The sequence below is a fragment of the Homo sapiens genome, chromosome 2, assembly GCF_000001405.40.
Source record: "Homo sapiens chromosome 2, GRCh38.p14 Primary Assembly".
NCBI lineage: Eukaryota > Metazoa > Chordata > Mammalia > Primates > Hominidae > Homo > Homo sapiens.
Genome location: NC_000002.12, coordinates 126,520,019 through 126,538,060, shown reverse-complemented (window position 1 = coordinate 126,538,060; position 18,042 = coordinate 126,520,019). Strand labels below are relative to the sequence as shown.

Below are 18,042 nucleotides of genomic sequence, written 5' to 3'. Positions count from 1 at the left end.
ATTGACTATTCCCTTTGAGATGTGGCCTTGGTGCCTGCCTTAGGCTGTTTGACAACTTTGTAGCCATGCATTTTGGGCTGTGTTATTCTACCTGCTACTTCTCACACTCTCTGCCCCCTTCTTTCTCAATATTGTCTGTTTCCCAACACTTCAAAGTCTTGCTGCCTTACTGAAAATCAATTTTATCATAGGAACAGGATCGCCAGGTGGGGGGTGCAGGTGGTGATTTGCACAAAGGCGTGTGCATGGGTGAAAGACAGCCCAGGCTGGGCTTGCTGAGGACAGTTAGGGCAGGGGCCGTGCCTACAGGGAGTGGTGTCCTTCAGATTTTCAGAAAGGCACTTTGCGAGTTGGTGCCGACCTTGACAATACAGAGGATTGAACCGGCCAGGGAGCAAATGCATGGAACAACCCTTCCCACTTTGAGCCCAAAATTTTTAGTAATTTTTCTAAGGTCATCAGGCTTCTTCTGGCTGCCTCCTTTTTTCTGTTTCTTTTTAAAAATTACTGTATTTTAAAATGTATTTTTATTTTTAATTGAAAAATTATAATTGTTTTAGAGGTAAAATGTGATATTTTGATATATGTATACATCATAGAATAATTAAATCAAGTAAATTAACATATCTATCACCTCTCATGCTCATCATTTTTTTGTGGTGAGAACATTTAAAATTACTGTCCTAGCAATTTTGAAATACACAATACATTATTATTCATGACAGTTACTACACTGCACAGTATAACTCAAAAGCTTATTTTTACATCTAACTGATACCTTCTACCCTTTGACCAACATCTCCCTGTCTCCCTGCTTCTGTTTCTCATGGTGTTTCCTCTCACATGCTTGTATTCTCCTCATTTTTGCTTCATCTCTCTCTTCCTTCTCTGGGTACCTCCAACCCCCAGCCCACATCACATCAGTTCTTGCTTTCCTTCCCCACCTCTATTTCATTTTTCACAGGTATTCTGAAACCAATCCTGATATCTGCACCTGCTCAGGAAATTAAAATATCTCATCTTTTTTGGCTGCTGCTTCACTGTGAGGCCAAACTGACAATCTGCTAACTGCAGCCCCAGAGCTAAATAACAGAATGTTTTGCAATCAGGACTAGAATCACAGTTGGTGGATTTTTTTTTTAGCTTTACAAAGCCAACAAAGCAAAAGAAAATGTCCCAGACCTCCCCCTGCCTTTCCACTCCCACCTGCCTTCTCCATTAAGCAGCCCTGGGGAGAGCCTGTCTAGGAGGTACAATCCAAGCCTCTATTTTCTATTCAGAAATGAGAAGGGGGTGTGTTCATGGACCTCTCTGCCCCTTTCTCCACCTTCTTTCTATCTTCCATCACTCACTCTTTGTGAGTAGTCTCACTCCCTCCTGAGCATGTGCCCTGCTGTCACATGCATTGAAAGGTACTCTGAGTAGTGTGTGAGATCTAAAAATCTAGGGGTCCAGGGGCTGGGGGCCACCATTGGGCCTAGGGACACATTAGTTCTGTGACTGAATCTTATCTCTCTAAATGATGTGAACACTCTGCTTACAGATTGGGAGATGTGCAGATGAAGGAATGAATATGGAATACATCTCTCAAAGAATGACTGATACAGCTTCAGGACTGAGGATTGGAATGTCCACAGATGTCATGTGTCAAGCTGCCCTGAAGGAACAGAATGAGAAGAAAAAGAATCTACTACCTCTTGAACCCACCAAGCACATCCCATCTCAGGATCTCTACTCTTGCTGTTCTCTTTGCCTAAAACATTCTTCCCCCAGATCTGTGCATGGCCCCCTCACTCACCTCACTTAGATATCTGTTCAAATACCACTTGAAGACCATTCTATCTAAGCACACTTACATTGTCTTATATTTTTATGGCTCTTTTTGCTCCCTGCCTCTAACTAGTAAATGTATTTGTTTATCTATCTTTTGCCATTTCCTCTCAAATATAAGCTTCCTGAAGACAGAGATTTTGTTTCATTCACTACTGCACCTTTAGTTCTCAGGACACTGCCTGGTACATAGTAGGTGCTCATTAAATATGTATTAAATGCATGACTTCAGGGAACACATCTCGAGTGGGCCATGCACTGTGCAAGGTGCTTTATGTACTTCATCTCATTTCATAGTCAGATCATCTTGGTGAGAAAGCATTCATGGTCCCCCACAATTTGGAGACTCCATGTGGCTCCAGGGAATTGGTCTCTGGTTTGACCCAGGGCCCGTGTTTTTCCCACCACAGGGGGCTGCTTCTGAGTACTGACTCCCTGAAGCTTTCTCTCTCCTTCTCCTCCTCTATTATACCATCTTCTGGACATTCTCCTGGATGTTTTCCTGTAGTGCTGTCCCCTTTCAGCACTGCACCCAGGATGTTTCTCTGGAGATCTTCCCTGCACGGTTTCTTCTGACTGCAAGTCTCCTCTGCCCGGGACGATGGTCATGACTCAACTGTGGCAGGGCCAGGCTTGCTGCGTCCTCATGGTCTTAGTTCGTAACCACTTGCTTGCCCCATTCTTCACTCGCATTCCACACTGCTAGTCAGCTCATTAAGCTTCCAGCCTGGTTTTCAGTCCTCCCTGCTTTGTCCTTGGCTGGGCTTTCACAATAGATGCTGTGCCCTGCCTTTGTGGTCATTTGTGGCTCTTTCCTCAGCAGCCACATTGGGCAGCCTTTTCCTACTGTGCCCTGGTCAAGAAGCCACTTCTTTGGGTCTACACTCCTGTGGGAGGCCTTTCCTTGGGTTTTCTCAGACCTTGAGTTGGAGTAAGACCCATTCTTTAGAAATTCTAGGATCAATCTTAAACATTTGTTGGATTTGATTTTTCCGGGCACCTTAGTGTGTCATAAGGGAAACAGGAGGTTCTGAAGCCAGAATTCCTATCTTGGGAAAGTTTTTAATCTACTACTTTAACTTAATCAACAAGGACTCACAGATAACCTGATGTATGTATACCAGAAACTGTGCTTAATGCTGGAGAAAAAGCTACATACGAGGCTCACCTTTCCTTTCATGGAGCTGAGAGCCACGATGCAGGTCATAGAACAGGGGGTGGAATCAAGCAATGCTAGCCAGTATTTGAAGAGCTTTTAAAAATATTCTGTGTCTTAGACAAAAGAGTTAATATGCTTCTTCTCATTTAATCCTCTAAAAAGCTCTTGTGCCTAAGCATGTCCACAAGTCTTATCCATTCCTATAGCCCCCGACTGTCCTTCTGGCTTTGCCCCAAGGTTTTGTAAATGTATTGCTCTCAGAACACCTCAGGGACTTCCTGTGGACCCACTCACTGGTCTACAGGATGCGGGGCTTGACGTCACACAGAATGCTACCATGAGGGCTCTTTCTGTAAGTGACATTGAGCTACACCCAATTCACAGCCCTTTCAGGGAAGAGTCCAGGCCCCCCTTTTCCTCTCCTTAACCACTGTCACGTCTTTCCAACTGAAACCCCTGCAATCCACTTCCCTCTCTGTACCTGTTTCCTGTGCAGTAGTCTGAGCCGTTGCTGGGGTCAGAACATGATACCCCAAACTATGGCACCTTGGCATGCTGAGTGCTTTCAACGGAAGTAGATTGAAAGGGCCTTAGAAGCAAGGTCTTTCAACCTTCTCCCACCCTCCTTTCTCTTGTTCCTGTTTCTCCCCCAAGGCAGACCTAGAAACTAGAATTCTCCTTCCCTAAAGCAAGCCATAAAACCTAGAAATACTACTCTGACCTTCCTCTGCCTTTCTGTGTAGGAGCTGGCTATAAAGAAATTCTCTGACCTACTTTGTTTGAAAGTAGATCATAAGACCCTCATTCCAGAGGTCCTGCCCTACACCCAGGGGAAAGGAATGCCACACAGAGAGGCCAAGAAGAATCTGAAAGACAGGTCTAGCTAGGTTTTCCCCGCTTCAGTCTCTCACCATTAGATCATACCCTTTGGTCCAACCACATTTCTACATGGCCGTCTGTTCTCCATCAAACCTAAGCACAAAAATAGACAGTTGTTCCTGAGTCTTTGGATCTTCATTTCTGAAGGCTCCCATGTCATGTAAAACTTTTATTCAATAAATTTGTGTGCTTTCTCCTATCCATCTGTCTTTGCCGGTTTTATTTTTAGACCTAATCAGGAACCCTAGGAGGATGGAGTAGGCTTTCCTCCCTGACACTGTCTTTTTAGAAAATAAATCGATTTCCTCCTTACCTCCTTACCCAAATCCTTAAATCACTTTTTATTTATTTAAGATCAAGGCCAAAATCTGACATGGCTTGGCTTCTAAGGCCCTACACTGATGTGGCTTCTGCCAAATGCCTCAGCCTCTGAGCTCATCACTGCCCTATGGCTCACCCTGCTCCAGTCCCACCAGTTCTTCATCCATGAGTTCCTTGAATGTGCCCAGTTCTTTCCTGCCCCAGAGCCTTTGACAATGCTTGCCCTCTGAAAGCCCCTTTCCCTTTTCTAGGCTAATTCCTGATCTTTGATAGTTTTCAGCTTAAAACCTTTTTTACATCTCCTTTCTGTTCTCTAGACTAGTTCAGCCCTCCCACCCATTATATGCTTTTGTAGTACCCAGTGTTTTTACTTTCAGCCCTTAGAATAACTGTAATTTTTGTATGTAGGGTGAATTGGTTGGTTGACTGTTCACTAGTCTTCTTTGGTCAGAAAAAAACCTCTAATTAAAATAGTTGGTACTGGGGTATCTGAGCTTGTGCCCATGAGTACTTTGGTTGGACACCTGCCCAACCACTCAATGCATCAAATCACAATGGTGGTGGGCTTACTATTCTTCAAAGGACAGGCCAGTACTACTCATAAGAGAATTATTCTTTTTCCCAAATGGGATTATATTCTGGTGTCTGTAAGGACAATTGCCGTGTGTACTTTGATGTTGTTACATCACAAATTACACTATAAAGGAAACAAACCCATCTAAAATTTTTCTTTGATGGGGTGGGCTATGATGACAAGACACTAAATTAGAAATGGAGCACTGTATTCTTTCTGGTTTAGGGCATCGAGCCCTTCCTCTTCAAAAGCACATGGGACTAACCAGAAGAATGTCAGGGAACGTGGGACAAACCCTGCCCACTTTGCAAAATGTAGATGGTATAAGGAGAAGACATCGCCTTGAAAGGGAGGCAAAGGCCGGTCGTGGTGGCTCACGTCTGTGGTGGCTCCCAGCACTTTGGGAGGCTGATGAGGGCAGATCACAAGGTCAAGGGTTTGAGACCAGCCTGGCCAACATAGTGAAATCCTGTCTTTACTAAAAATACCAAAAACTAGCCAGGCATGGTGGCAGGTGCCTGTAATCCCAGCTACTCACTAGGCCGAGGCAGGAGAATTGCTTGAACCTGGGAGATGAAGGTTGCAGTGAGCCGAGATTGCGCCATTGCACTGCAGCCTGGGAGACAGTGCAAGACTCTGTCAAAAGAAAAAAAAAAAAAAAAAGAAGGGAGGCAGAATACTTTTAGGAATGAGATGGAATTTCTAGCCGAAGATATTTGAAGAAAAGGCTGATTATTGTAGGGAAGGCAACTTAGGGTACAGAGAATACCTTGCAGTTGGGTTTGGGGATAAATTATCACTGAAACATTTATGGGGAGTGGCAAGTTGATCAATTTTAAATGTGTGGTTGGGTATTTGGCCAGGATTTTCATGGTTCCACATTTTTAAAATCACAATCTTCTCTTGATCTCCACCCAAAATTTAGTAAGAGCAAGAATTTCTTGCAGAGAAGTAGTTTTATGGCCTTGTCTGACTCCCAAGGCTAGATTATGACCTCACTGAGGAGAAAGCCTATGTCTTATTCGTCTTTTATTTTTTTAGACAAGGTCTTACTCTGTCACCAAGACTGGAGTGCAGTGGTGTATCATGGCTCACTGCAGTCTTGAGCTCCTGGGCTCAAGTGATTCTCACATCTCAGCATCCTGAAGAGCTGGGGCTGCAGGCACATGCCATCATGCCCGAGTAATTTTAGTATTTTGTAAATTTTTTTTGTAGAGATGGGATTTGGCCATGTTGGCCAAGCTAGTTTTGAACTCTAGGCTCAAGTGATCTGCCTACCTTGGCTTCCTAAAGTGCTGGGATTAAAGGCCACCATGACTGGCCTCATTCATCATTGTAACCCCTACGTCCAACTCAAGGCTTGGTATAGAGCAGCCACTTCATAATGTTGGCTTTGAATGAATCGGCATTTTAACATTTTTCAGTGAGCAGAGGGGGAGAGCCACTGAGAAGAAAGAGTCAAGGGAGAAAAGTCTGGATGTGGATGGGAGGGATGAGGTGAGTAGTTCAGTGTGTGATGAGGATTATAGGCAGAGAGAGAGGGGTGTCTGTTCTAAAGAGACAAGCAAGTTGGAAGAAGAAGGATATTTTAGGATTAAAGTAGTATAGAGCAGAGAGTTGATTTGGGTGTAGGATAGGTAGGGAAAAGGACAGTGGCTTAACATCTGAACCCTGACTTAAGGGCATGCAGACCAAGCATCGTGGCACAGAAAGAAAACTAGTAAGGCTTACACTGTGGCTCCGCAACTTACCTCTCTGATATTGGACAGGTGCTCTCACCTCAGAGTTCCTTATTCTGTAAAAGAAGAACAATAACTTAGTCACTGATTTAATGTGATAACTTAATTAGCTATTACCAATGACATCTCTGTCAACTCTAAAGCATATTGCAAATGTTTCTTTAAATACGTATTTATACTTTAATTGAGTTTGAAAAGGAAGTTAAACTCATATAAACAGTATGACGAATTAAGTATAAAATGCTGAATAAACTATGAGAGCAAAAAATTATAGAGTATTAGTTTGGTGCAGTTTTGGAAATTACTGACATAATTTCCCATATTGTGCAATAATATTTACCTGCTATAATTACTTACGTGTGTGTGAGAGTCTGTATGTCTTTCCCCATTCAGTCTGTAAATTTCTCACAAAAGTGACACTATCTTAATTATCTCTATTAATTTCTCAACACTTGTGTCTTGAATTGCACTATTGTAATAGCACATTTTACAATTAAAGAAACTGAGGCTCAGCTATCTTCAGGTGCAGACTCTGCAAACTTCTCACAACTAGGTCTTCCCACTGCCATCCCAGGGCTTTTTTCCAACCTGATCTCATGAAAGAGGACTTGAACTTTGATAAACAAAAGCATAGGGACATACAGATAAAAGAGCATTACTCTTGGGGGAACAGCTTAAGCAAAGGCACTGGAACAGGAATGGAAGTTGAGGATCCAGGGAGCATTTTGCAGACCAGTCTGGCTGCAATGGAGGGCGCACACATTTTTATGGTGCTTGCTAACCTTTCCTCCAGGCCTGAGAAAAATAATCAAGAAGCTGTCAAAGGAAATAACAAAAATCTTTTAATTATTTAACAAGTTATCCAAATGCCAAACTCTAGGGAGGGTGATGCTATGTTCATATAAAGTGAATGTAAAACTTAACACATCAAATAAAACAAATACTTCCTTCTTGCCCATGTTTCCTTGTAATTACATCACAAAGAACCCTCACTATGATAGTAAATCAAAGCAGTCTCCTTAATTTATTTCAAGGGCAAATGCCATTGGATAAATTTGAAGTCACCAAGGATCCTCAATTTTGATTGACCAGGCTTAATACACTACCTACTTACTCCAGAGAGCGAACTGAGTCACCAGTACACCAGATCTGGACCTTTCTGGGTGTTGGACTCTGGTATTATGCCAGAGAATTGCAGGCTACCAAATTTGATAGAGTACGTTTCAGGGCTCATTGAAAAATATTATAGAAGGCTTTCTGGGGGTAAGGTGACTCTGTGAGCAGCTTCCAAATGGAAAATTACTGCTTAAAACCCTGCAGGGTCTCCCTAATGGTGGCATGCAAAGCCCTCCATATCCTTACCTCCTTAGTTATTCAGCTTTGTCTCCCAACGTTGCTTTTTTTCATATCCACACATTCTAATCATACTAATCTAATCCCTTGCGCTGTTTCCTGCTATTTCATACCTCTGAGTCTTGAACATGCTTATTTTTCTGCCTGAGGTATCCTTGACCACCTTTCTGCCTGAAAAGAATGTCTCCTTGTTGTAAAAGATATTTTCTGTGGAGGCTTTTAAGGCAATTTCTTTCTTGAACTTAAACAAATTTACAAGAAAAAAACAAACAACCCTATTTAAAAAGTGGGGCAAAGGACATAAACAGACACTTCTCAAAAGAAGCTACTCATGCAGTCAACAAACATGTGAAAAAAAGTTCACCATCACTGATCATTAGAGAAATGCATATCAAAATCACAATGAGATATCGCCTCACAGCAGTCAGAATGGTGATTATTAAAAAGTAGAGAAGCAACGGATGCTGGTGATGTTGCAAAGAAAAAGGAACACTTTTACACTGTTGGTAGGAATGTAAATTAGTTCAACCATTGTGGAAGACAGTGTGGCGATTCCTCAAAGATGTAGAAGTGGAAATACCATTTGACCCAGCAATCCCATTACCGGGTATATACCCAAAGGAATAGAAATCATTCATTATAAAGATACATGCACACTTATGTCCATTGCAGCACCATTGACAATAGCAAAGACATGGGATCAACCCAAATGCCCATCAGTGATAGATTGGATAAAGAAAATATGGTACATATACACCATGGAATACTATGCAGCCATAAAAAGAAATGAGATCATGTCCTTTGCAGGGACACGGATGGAGGCTATTATCCTCAGCAAATTAATGCAGGAACAGAAAACCAAACACTGCGTATTCTCACATATAAGGAGGAGCTGTACAATGACAACACATGGACACATGGTGGGGACAACACACCTTAGGGCCTATTGTGGGAGATGGGGGAGGGAGAGCATCAGGAATAATAACTAATGGATGCTGGGCTTAATAGCTAGGCGATGGGTTGATCTCTGCAACAAATCACCATGGCACACATTTACCTATATAACAAACCTTCACATCCTGTACATGTACTCTGGAACTGAAAATAAAAGTTGATGGAAAAAATAAGACTATTCTTTTCTCCAGTTAAGGTAGAGTTGATTAATGCTCTCCTTGTTTCATTCTGTATCTTATACCACCTTAATAATGGCACCTGTCTTACTATTCCACATCCTTATTTATTTACTTATTTAAAAAAATTTGAGACAGCCTGTTGCCCAGGCTGGAGTGCAGTGTTGTGATCATGGCTCACTGCAGCTTCGACCTCCCCAGGCCCAAGCAATCCTCCCACTTCAGCTTCATGAGTAGCTGGAGTTACAAGTGTGTACCACCATGCCTGGCTAATTTTTGTATTTTTTTTGTAAAGATGAGGTTTTGCCATGTTGCCGGGCATGATCTCGAACTCCTGGGCTCTAGCAAACCACCCACCTCAACTTCCCAAAGTGTTTGGATTACAGGCATGAACCACCACGCACAGCCCATCCTTTTTTATTTTAATAAAAATTCTTTGTACTTATTTCTACATTCCGAGCATAAAGAGAAGGCTCATGTATTCCATGTAATACTGAGGACTCTACTCCAAGTGCTTACTAAGTAGCTGATGCAAAGTAGGTCATCTATTTGTTGAATGAATGCATGGATAAATAAATGAACAAATGATGTAGAGCTAATAGTTTGGTGAGGACAGGACACGTGCAGTTGCGTTAAGTAGGATGCTAGTATGTTTGCAAACCAACTCAGCTAGCTTAAGTGGTAATTGGTTCATACGAAGTGCCCATGGAGTTCTAGGCCCAGGGTTGGACATTCAGCAGCTCAGTAAAGTGAGGAGGGCTAGGTGTCTTTCTGCTTTGCCTGTACCTGGCTCCCCCTTGTGGTTGCAAGCTCCTAGACCTGCAGGTTTCCAGGTCCACATCAAGAAAGGAAAAGTCCTCCTCTGAAAACTCTCTCAAGAAAGAGGAGCTATTTTCCTCAGAACCCACTAGGTAGCATTTTTTTTCCAGTTCCATTGGCCATCATTGCCTAATGGGTTCATGAACCAAGTGGCCACGGTGGCAGGGATGGAGGTTATGCATGAGCTCAGCAATATGGACTTCCACTCACCATGGCTGAACTGGCTGTGGACATTGCTGAGTGTGCCATCTGCCAGCGCAAAGACCAATACTAAGCCTCCAATGTGGCCCCATTCCCTGGTAATCAGCCAGCACCTGGAGACAGGTTGATTACTTTGGTCTGCTTCTGCTATGATTTGGGTTGTTTGACCCCTCCAAACCTCACGTTGAAATTTGATCCCCCGTGTTGGAGACGGGGCTTAATGGAAGGTGCTTGAGTCACGGGGGTGAATCCCTCATGAATGGCTTCATGCCATCCTCGTGGTAGTGAGTGAGTTCTCGCTATGTTAGTTTCCGGGAGAGCTGGTTGTTAAAAAGAGCCTGGCACCTCCCCAGTCTCTGTTGCTTCCTCTCTCACCATATGATCTTTACACATACCAGCTCCATTTTGCCTTCTACTGTAAGTGGAAGCGGACTGAGGTCCTCACCAGAAGCTAATGCTGGTGCCATGCTTTTTATAAAGACTACAGAATGACTAGTCAAATAAATCTATTTTCTTTATATATTACCTAGCCTCCGGTACTATTTTATAACAACACAAATGCGCTAAGACAGAAAATTGGCACTGAGGAGTGGGGTGTTGCTATACACATACCTGGAAATGTGGAAGCAGCTTTGGAACTGGCTAAGGCACAGAAGTTGGAAGAGTTTGGAGGGCTCAGAAGAAGACAGGAAGATGAAAGAAAGTTTGGAACTTTTTAGAGGGTGGTTTAGCGGTTGTAACCAAAATATTGACAAAAATATACACAGTTAAGGCCATGCTGACCAGGTCTCAGATGGAAATGAGGAAAGATCACTCTTGCTATGGTGTAATAAAGAAGTTGGCTGCATTGTATTTATGCCTCAGGGCTTTGTGCTAGGGTAAACTTAAGACTGAAGACCTCAGGTATCTGGCAAAAGAAATTTCTTAGCATCATAGCTGCTTTTAACAGTTTACAACCAGATATGGCAGCAAAAGAATGACCTAAAGCTGGAATTAACAAGTAAAAGGGAGGCAGAGTGTAAAAATTTGGAAAATTCACAGCCTGGCCATGTGCTAGAAAAGGAAAGATCATTTTCAGTAATCCAAGGGTGCTGGGAAACACTTACTTGCTGGAGAAGTTAGCAGGGATTAAAGGGAGACAGGTGCTAATAGTCAAGACAATGGGAAAATGGCCCTGAAGGCAATTCAGAAATTTTCAAAACTATTGCTCTCATCACAGGCCCAGAGGCTGAGGAGAATGCAATGGTTTTGGGAACCCACATGGAGCACTTCTTCCCTATGCCCACCTCAGGAGGCTGCTGCTCACACCCTGGCCACTCTGGTTTAAGATGGTTCAAAGGGCCTCAGGTACTGCTTGGGTTGCTGCTCCAGAGAGCACAGCATTAAGCCTTGGCAGCTGCCATGTGGTGCCAAGTCTGCAGGAACCCAGAATGAAAGAGATGGGGAGGCTCAGCAGCTTCCACCTAGATTTAAGAAAATGTGTTGGAAAGCTTGGATTCCCAGGCAGAAGCCTCTGCAGGGTTGGAGCCACTACAGAAAACTTATACTAGGGCAGTGCCCAGTGGAGCTGTGAGAGCAGGGCTGCTGCCCTCCTAACCCCAGAATTGTGGAGCCATCAGCCATATGCAACCACCGACTGAAAAAGCTGTAGGCACTAGACTTCAAACCATGAGAACAGCCATGTGGGCCATGCTTAGCAAAACCATGGGGATGAGGCTGCTCAGTGCCTTGAGAGCCCACTTTTCACACCAGTGTGCCTAGGATGAGAACATGAAGTCAAGAATTTTTTTGAAACATTAAGGTTTAATGCTTGCTCTGCTGATTTCAGACTTGCATGGGGCCTATTACCCCTTTCTTTTCGTCGATTTCACACTTTTGGAATAGAAATGTTTACCAAATGCTTGTACAACAATTGCAACTTGGAAGTACGTAACTTATTTTTGATTTACAGGCTTATAGCTGGAAAAAACTTGCTTTGAGTCCCAGATAAGACTTTCAATTTTGTATTTGTGAATTGATGCTGGAACAAGGTAAGACTTTTGGGGACTACTGGAAAGGGATGATTGTATTTTCCATGTGAGAAGGACAAGAGATTTGGGGAGCCAAAGGTGGAATGCTGTAGTTTGGTTTGGTTGGCCTCTCCAAATCTCATGTTGAAATTTAATGTGTTTGGGTCATTAGGGCAGATCCCTCATAAATGGCTTGGTGCCATCCTAAATGAGTGATTTTTCACTCTATTAGTTCCTGCAAAAGCTAATTGTTAAAAAGAGACTGGCACCTCCTCCCTTTATTTCTTGATTCCCCTCTCTTCATGTGACCTGCACACAGAGCTTCTCTTTGCCTTCTGCCATGAGTAGAAACCTTCTGAGCTCCTCACCAGAAGTAGATGCTGGCACCATGCTTCTTGTACAATCTGCAGAACTGCGAGCCAAATAAACCCCTTTTCTTTATAAATTACCTAGCCTTGGGTATTCTTTTATAGCAGTACAAATGGACTAAAACAACTTCCATCACAGAAAGGGCAGTGCTTTGTTCTTAGTGGAATAGACATTTACTTTGGATATAGATTTTCCTTCCTTACACACAATGCTTCTGCCAAAACTATCATTCATGTATTTACAGAATGCTTTATCCTGAGTGCCCAATCTGCCAGCAGCAAAGACCAACACTAAGCCTCCAATGTGGTCCCATTCCCTGGTGATCAGCCAGCTACCTGAATGGTCCATAGTCATGGTATTCCACACAGCATGGTTTCTAATTACAGAACTCACTTTACAGAAAAAGAGTGTGGCAATGGACCCATGTCCATGGAATTCACTGATCTTACCATATTTCACACCTGCAGCTAGTTTTATATAAAGGTAGAATGGCCTTTTTAAGACCCAGTTACAGTGCCAGCTAGGCGACGTTATCTTGTAAGGCTTGGGCAGGGTTTTCCATAAGGATGTGAATACTCTGAATAAGTATTCAATATACATTCAATATATGATACTGTTTCTCTCATGGCCAAGATTTATGGGTCTAGGAATTAAAGGATAGAAATAGGAGTGGCACCACTCACTATTACCCCTAGTGACCTACAGCAGAATTTTTCCTTCCTATTATGCTCTGCTGGCCTAGAGGTCTTAGTTCCAGAGGTAGGAATGCTTCCACCAAGAGAGTTATTCCATTGAACTGGAAGTTAAGACTGCTACCCAGCCACTTTGGACTCCTTATGCCACTTAGTTAACAGACGAAGAAGAGAGTTAGTGTGCTGGTCAGGGTGATAGACGCTGACTACTAAGGAGATATTGAACTACTACTCCACAGTGGAGGTAAAGGTAAGTGCTGGAATACAGGAGACCCCTTAGGGTGTGTCTTATTGTTACCACATTCTATGATAAAAGTCAATAAGAAACTAAAATAACCCAGTCCAGACAGGACTATGAATGGTCCAGATCCTTCAGGAACAAAGGTTTGGGTTACTTCTTGTTATGGATTGAATGCTTGTGTCCCCTCAAAATTTATATGGCAAAAGCCTAACCCCTAATGTGATGATACTAGGGGGTGAGACCTTTGAGAAGTAATTAGGTCATAAAAGCAGAGCCCTCATGAATAAGTTGAGTGCACTTCTAAGAAGACACATGCGTGTTAGCCGTCTCTGCCTGCTCTCCACCACTTGGGTCACAGTGAGAACATAGACTGCAAACCAGGAAGAGGGCCTTCACCTGATCCTCTAGATCCTTGATCTTGAACTTCCAGCCTCCAGAATGGTTAGAAATACATTTTTTTCATTGTTTAAGTCATCCAGTCTGTGGCATTCTGTGACAGCAGCCCAAACTGACTAAGACATCCCACCAGATTAAGAACTATGACCAGCTGAACTGCTTGCTAATAGCAAAGCAAATGCAGAATTAGTAATGGAAGAAGGTAAATCGTGAATACCAGTGACAGAGATTCTTGGCTTGATCCCATTTTTATTCAAGTCCCTGAACCTTCTCCTAGGTTCATTTGTGTGCTTCCTCGTAAAGTCCAGTTTTAGCAAAGAACCCTGCTAAGTCAGTTTAGTAAGAATCACCCCCATCATCCTCAATATCTGATCACTCACTTTTCTTTTTTTGGTCCAGATGGGGTCTTATTCTGTCATCCAGACTGGAGTGCAGTGGCACGATCATAGTTTCTGATCACTCTTGATACCTGATCAGATTCCTCATCCTCCACTATCCCCTGGGTGATGTCAGATTACCCTGGCCTGTCTTAAGCAAGAATTCTGTTAGGTCTATTTAGCCAGAATCCCTCTTACGCTGAAGTTTTCTATTAGTAATTTTCTAACCACTGACTGCCACCCTGATTTTTGGCTATAAATTCCCACTTGTCCATGCTGTATTCAGGGTTGAGCCCAATTTCTGTCCTCTATTGCAAAATCCCATTATAGTTGTCCCTATATCTACTACAATGGCCTTGAATAAAATTGTTCATGTCATGATTTACAAGTGTTATTGAAATTTTAACACCAGCTACAACTATATGATCAATTAGAGAAATGAGGACTGAAATTGGCATGGGTATTTTCTCCTTATTTTGTTATGAACATGTGTGTGTGTTTATTTTTAAATATTTTTTCTTCAACTTTTATTTCAAACTCAGGGGTACATGTGCAGGATGTGCAGGTTTGTTACATAGGTAACATAGGTGTGCCATGGTAGTTTTCTGCAGGGATCATCCCATCACCTAGGTATTAAGCCCAGCATTCATTAGCTGGTCTTCCTCATGCTCTCCTTCTCCCCACCCCCTCAAACAGGACCCAGGATGTGTTGTTCCCCCATGTGTCCATGTGTTCTCAACATCAGCTCCCACTTATAAGTGAGAACATGTGGTATTTGGTTTTCTGTTCGTGTGTTAGTTTGCTAAGGGTAATAGCCTCCATCTCCATCCATGTTCCCACAAAAGACATGATCTCATTCTTTTTATGGCTGCATAGTATTCCATGGTGTATATGTACCACCTTTTCTTTATCCAGTCTATCATTGGTGGGCATTTGGGTTGATTTCATGTCTTTGCTGTTGTGAATAGTGTGGCAATGAACACATGTGTGTATGTATCTTTATCACAGAATGATTTATATTCCTTTGGGTATATACCCGGTAATGAAATTGCTGAGTCAAATGGTGTTTCTCTTTCTAGATCTTTGATGAATCACCATGTGTTGTGTGTCTTTAAACATGTACATATAAAAATAACTTTGTTTCTCCTCTCCTCTTATCATGTAATGTGAGATCTATTTACTTTATATCATAGTATTAAATAGTGCTAATTTTATATCATGGTATTTAAACAATGGATATCAAGGAGGAGAGTTAACAGCACTGAAGGACTTTACCTTCTCTTCTGGAGGAGTTAGTACCATTTATATTGTACAAAGGATAGTTGTATCATGTGCAGCAGAGTCATGGCCTTGTTATTGTCTTTATTTTACAGTTAAGTATGGTTTAAGGAGATGTATGTGGATGTGGACTTGTGAGGGTTCATGTTATGAGTCAACTTGACTGGACCACAGAGTGCCTAGACATTGGGTCAAACATTATTCTGGGCATGTCTGTGCAGGCGTTTCTAGATAAGTTTAACATTTGGACTGGTAAACTGAGTGAAGTGAGTTGCTCTTCCTTATGTGTATGGGCCGTACTCAATCTGTTGAAGTCCTGAATGGAACAAAAATGCCAACCCTTTCATGAGTAAGAGGAAACTCCTCCTTTCTGACTGCTGGGAGATCTGTCTCTTCTTGCCTTCGGACTTTAACAGAAACATTGATTCTTCTTGAGTCTGGAGCCTGCTGGATTTTGGACTGAAATTTACACCATCAGCTTTTCTGAATTTCCAGCTTGCTGACTGCAGATCTTGGGATTTATCAGCCTCTGTAATCATGTGAGCCAATTCCTTATAATAAATCTCTTTCTATATACACACCTACACACACATCCTATGAGATCTGCTAACAAATGATGTGCTCTGCCTTAGAGCTGAGTGAAGATTATTTTGAAGAAAACACAGGGAGAGATGTGGACGTGCATCTAAATAGGGCGATTTTAAAGAGAGGAGAGCTACATTTGGGAGGTAACCACAATGACTACAAAGGGATGAAAAGGGCACACCCAAAAGCCATTCATGTTGTCTGTGTTCACTCTGGATTTCTATTCCTGGTTGTGTTTGGATTTGGAGTTCTCTCTCACTTTCTTTTCCTTTATCAAAATAAACTGACAATATATATTAATATAATATATAAAATACTGACAGCATTAATATAAAGTCAGTTTATTACACATAGCGAGAGAGAGAGACTACACACACACACATACACATACACATACAGAGATATGTGTGTTTCATGTGCACACATCTCCAAAGTTGTGTCTGCCTTGTTCATGACACCCCTCAGGGTAAAGGTGGCAGTGCCTGTGTCTCTGTCAGCCTGAAGGGCAGCATCAAGGGGCCTACTCTTTAGAGAAGCCAATTTGCACAATTTATCCCCCTTCAGGGGACACCTTGCCATTATCAAATGCATTACTCTCCACTCTGTGAAACATTACAGGTGCAAAAATCCTGCCCAATCAAGGAAAGCCTTAGAATTTGAATTCTGGAGTTATTTGCCAGGACCAGATCTAGGGTGGTCTGGCATTTGTGGAGCCCACCACGTGCCAGGGATTTATTCATGCTTCCTCCCGCAATCCTCTCAGCAGCCACACTAGGAAGAGATCTGAGAGGGGCTTCATGGAAGACATGCTGCCCTATAATCCAGGCATGTCACAGACACATAATTAACATTTCCTTTTCATTTGCCTCCTTCATCCACACATATGCTGAGGTTTTCTTTGACACTTCTCTCTTCTGACTGTGCCATTTCTTTTTTATTTCATTACAAAACCACAAGCTAAAAAACAAAAATGAAGCACCAAAAATATTTCTCCTCGCTTTCCAAAAAAGCAAAGAAAACAACAGAAAAACCAAACATAACTACTACCATCAACAATAACTATTGGCTTCACAAAAATGGAACCCAACATGAGTTCAAAGCTTTGACTTCACCTGGAAAAATTTCACATTCAATTCACTTTATTAAAACCAAATTCACATCTGTTTAAAAGGTGAGGAAACTTGGACAAGGTGGGGAAAGGGTTTAGTTGAAATATTCTCATGCTGGTATCTGTGTCAATGGAGCTGTGTGCTGTCCACCGGTCTCTTTCTCTGTGTTGGCTGGTCTTTGATTTTCACTTGAATTAAGAAAGAGATTCATTAACTCAACAAATCCTCCTTCTACTATGGGCCAAGTATAGCTGTAGGCTCCATAAATTCAGCTATGAACAAGACCTATCTGGAACTACTTTTCTGGAGCTTAATTCTGTAGAGAAAGATGGACATTAAACCCATGAATCAAGACATGATCAAGAGAACTTCAGCTGGTGACAATGGCTATGAAGAAAGTAAGACAGAGAGAAGTGGTTGGAGCTGCCCGGGGTGAGAGCTAAGTTGGAGAGAGCCAAGGAAGACCCCCTGAAGGAAAGGACATGTGAGCTGAGACCTATGTGATGGGAGGTGCTGGGCACTCCTTCCCAGGACAGGGGGAAGCAAAGTAAAAGTCCAGAGGTTAGGAGTGAGTTTGGCTTGTTTGGTAAGACCAGAGGGAGTGAGGAAGAGTGGTAGATAATTTCTGGATTGTTATGGTTTATTCTGCAGGTCACTCCTGTGTTAGCACATGATTTAATCCTCACAGCAGCCATATTTCGTACATATCATGTCAAATTTAGAGACGCACATGCTGAAATGCACATGCTGACACCCAGAGACCTGGGATGTCATAGCCAGCCAAGACCAGTGGGAGAATGGACCCCAGGCATCATCTACCAGTTGGTGAGTGTGAAAGCCAGGGATCAGCTCACACAAGACCACCCTTACATCTGACAACAATTGAAATTTTGGGAGGGCACCCAAGCTACCCTCTGTTTTTGATAATTCACTAAAAGCACTCACAAAACTCATGAAAGCAGTGGTACTTGCAGTTACAGT

At 42.5% G+C, this 18,042-nt stretch overlaps 1 long non-coding RNA gene across 1 annotated transcript in view; it reads left to right on the top strand.

The window, feature by feature from the left end:
- The window catches only part of LOC105373602 (uncharacterized), a 98,601-nt gene extending 96,295 nt beyond the window's left edge, over positions 1-2,306 (top strand). Inside the window, exon 3 of the long non-coding RNA XR_001739693.1 lies at positions 1,544-2,306. This is a non-coding gene — a long non-coding RNA (uncharacterized LOC105373602). The remainder of the gene's footprint in view (positions 1-1,543) is intronic.
- Positions 2,307-18,042: the final 15,736 nt, after the last annotated feature.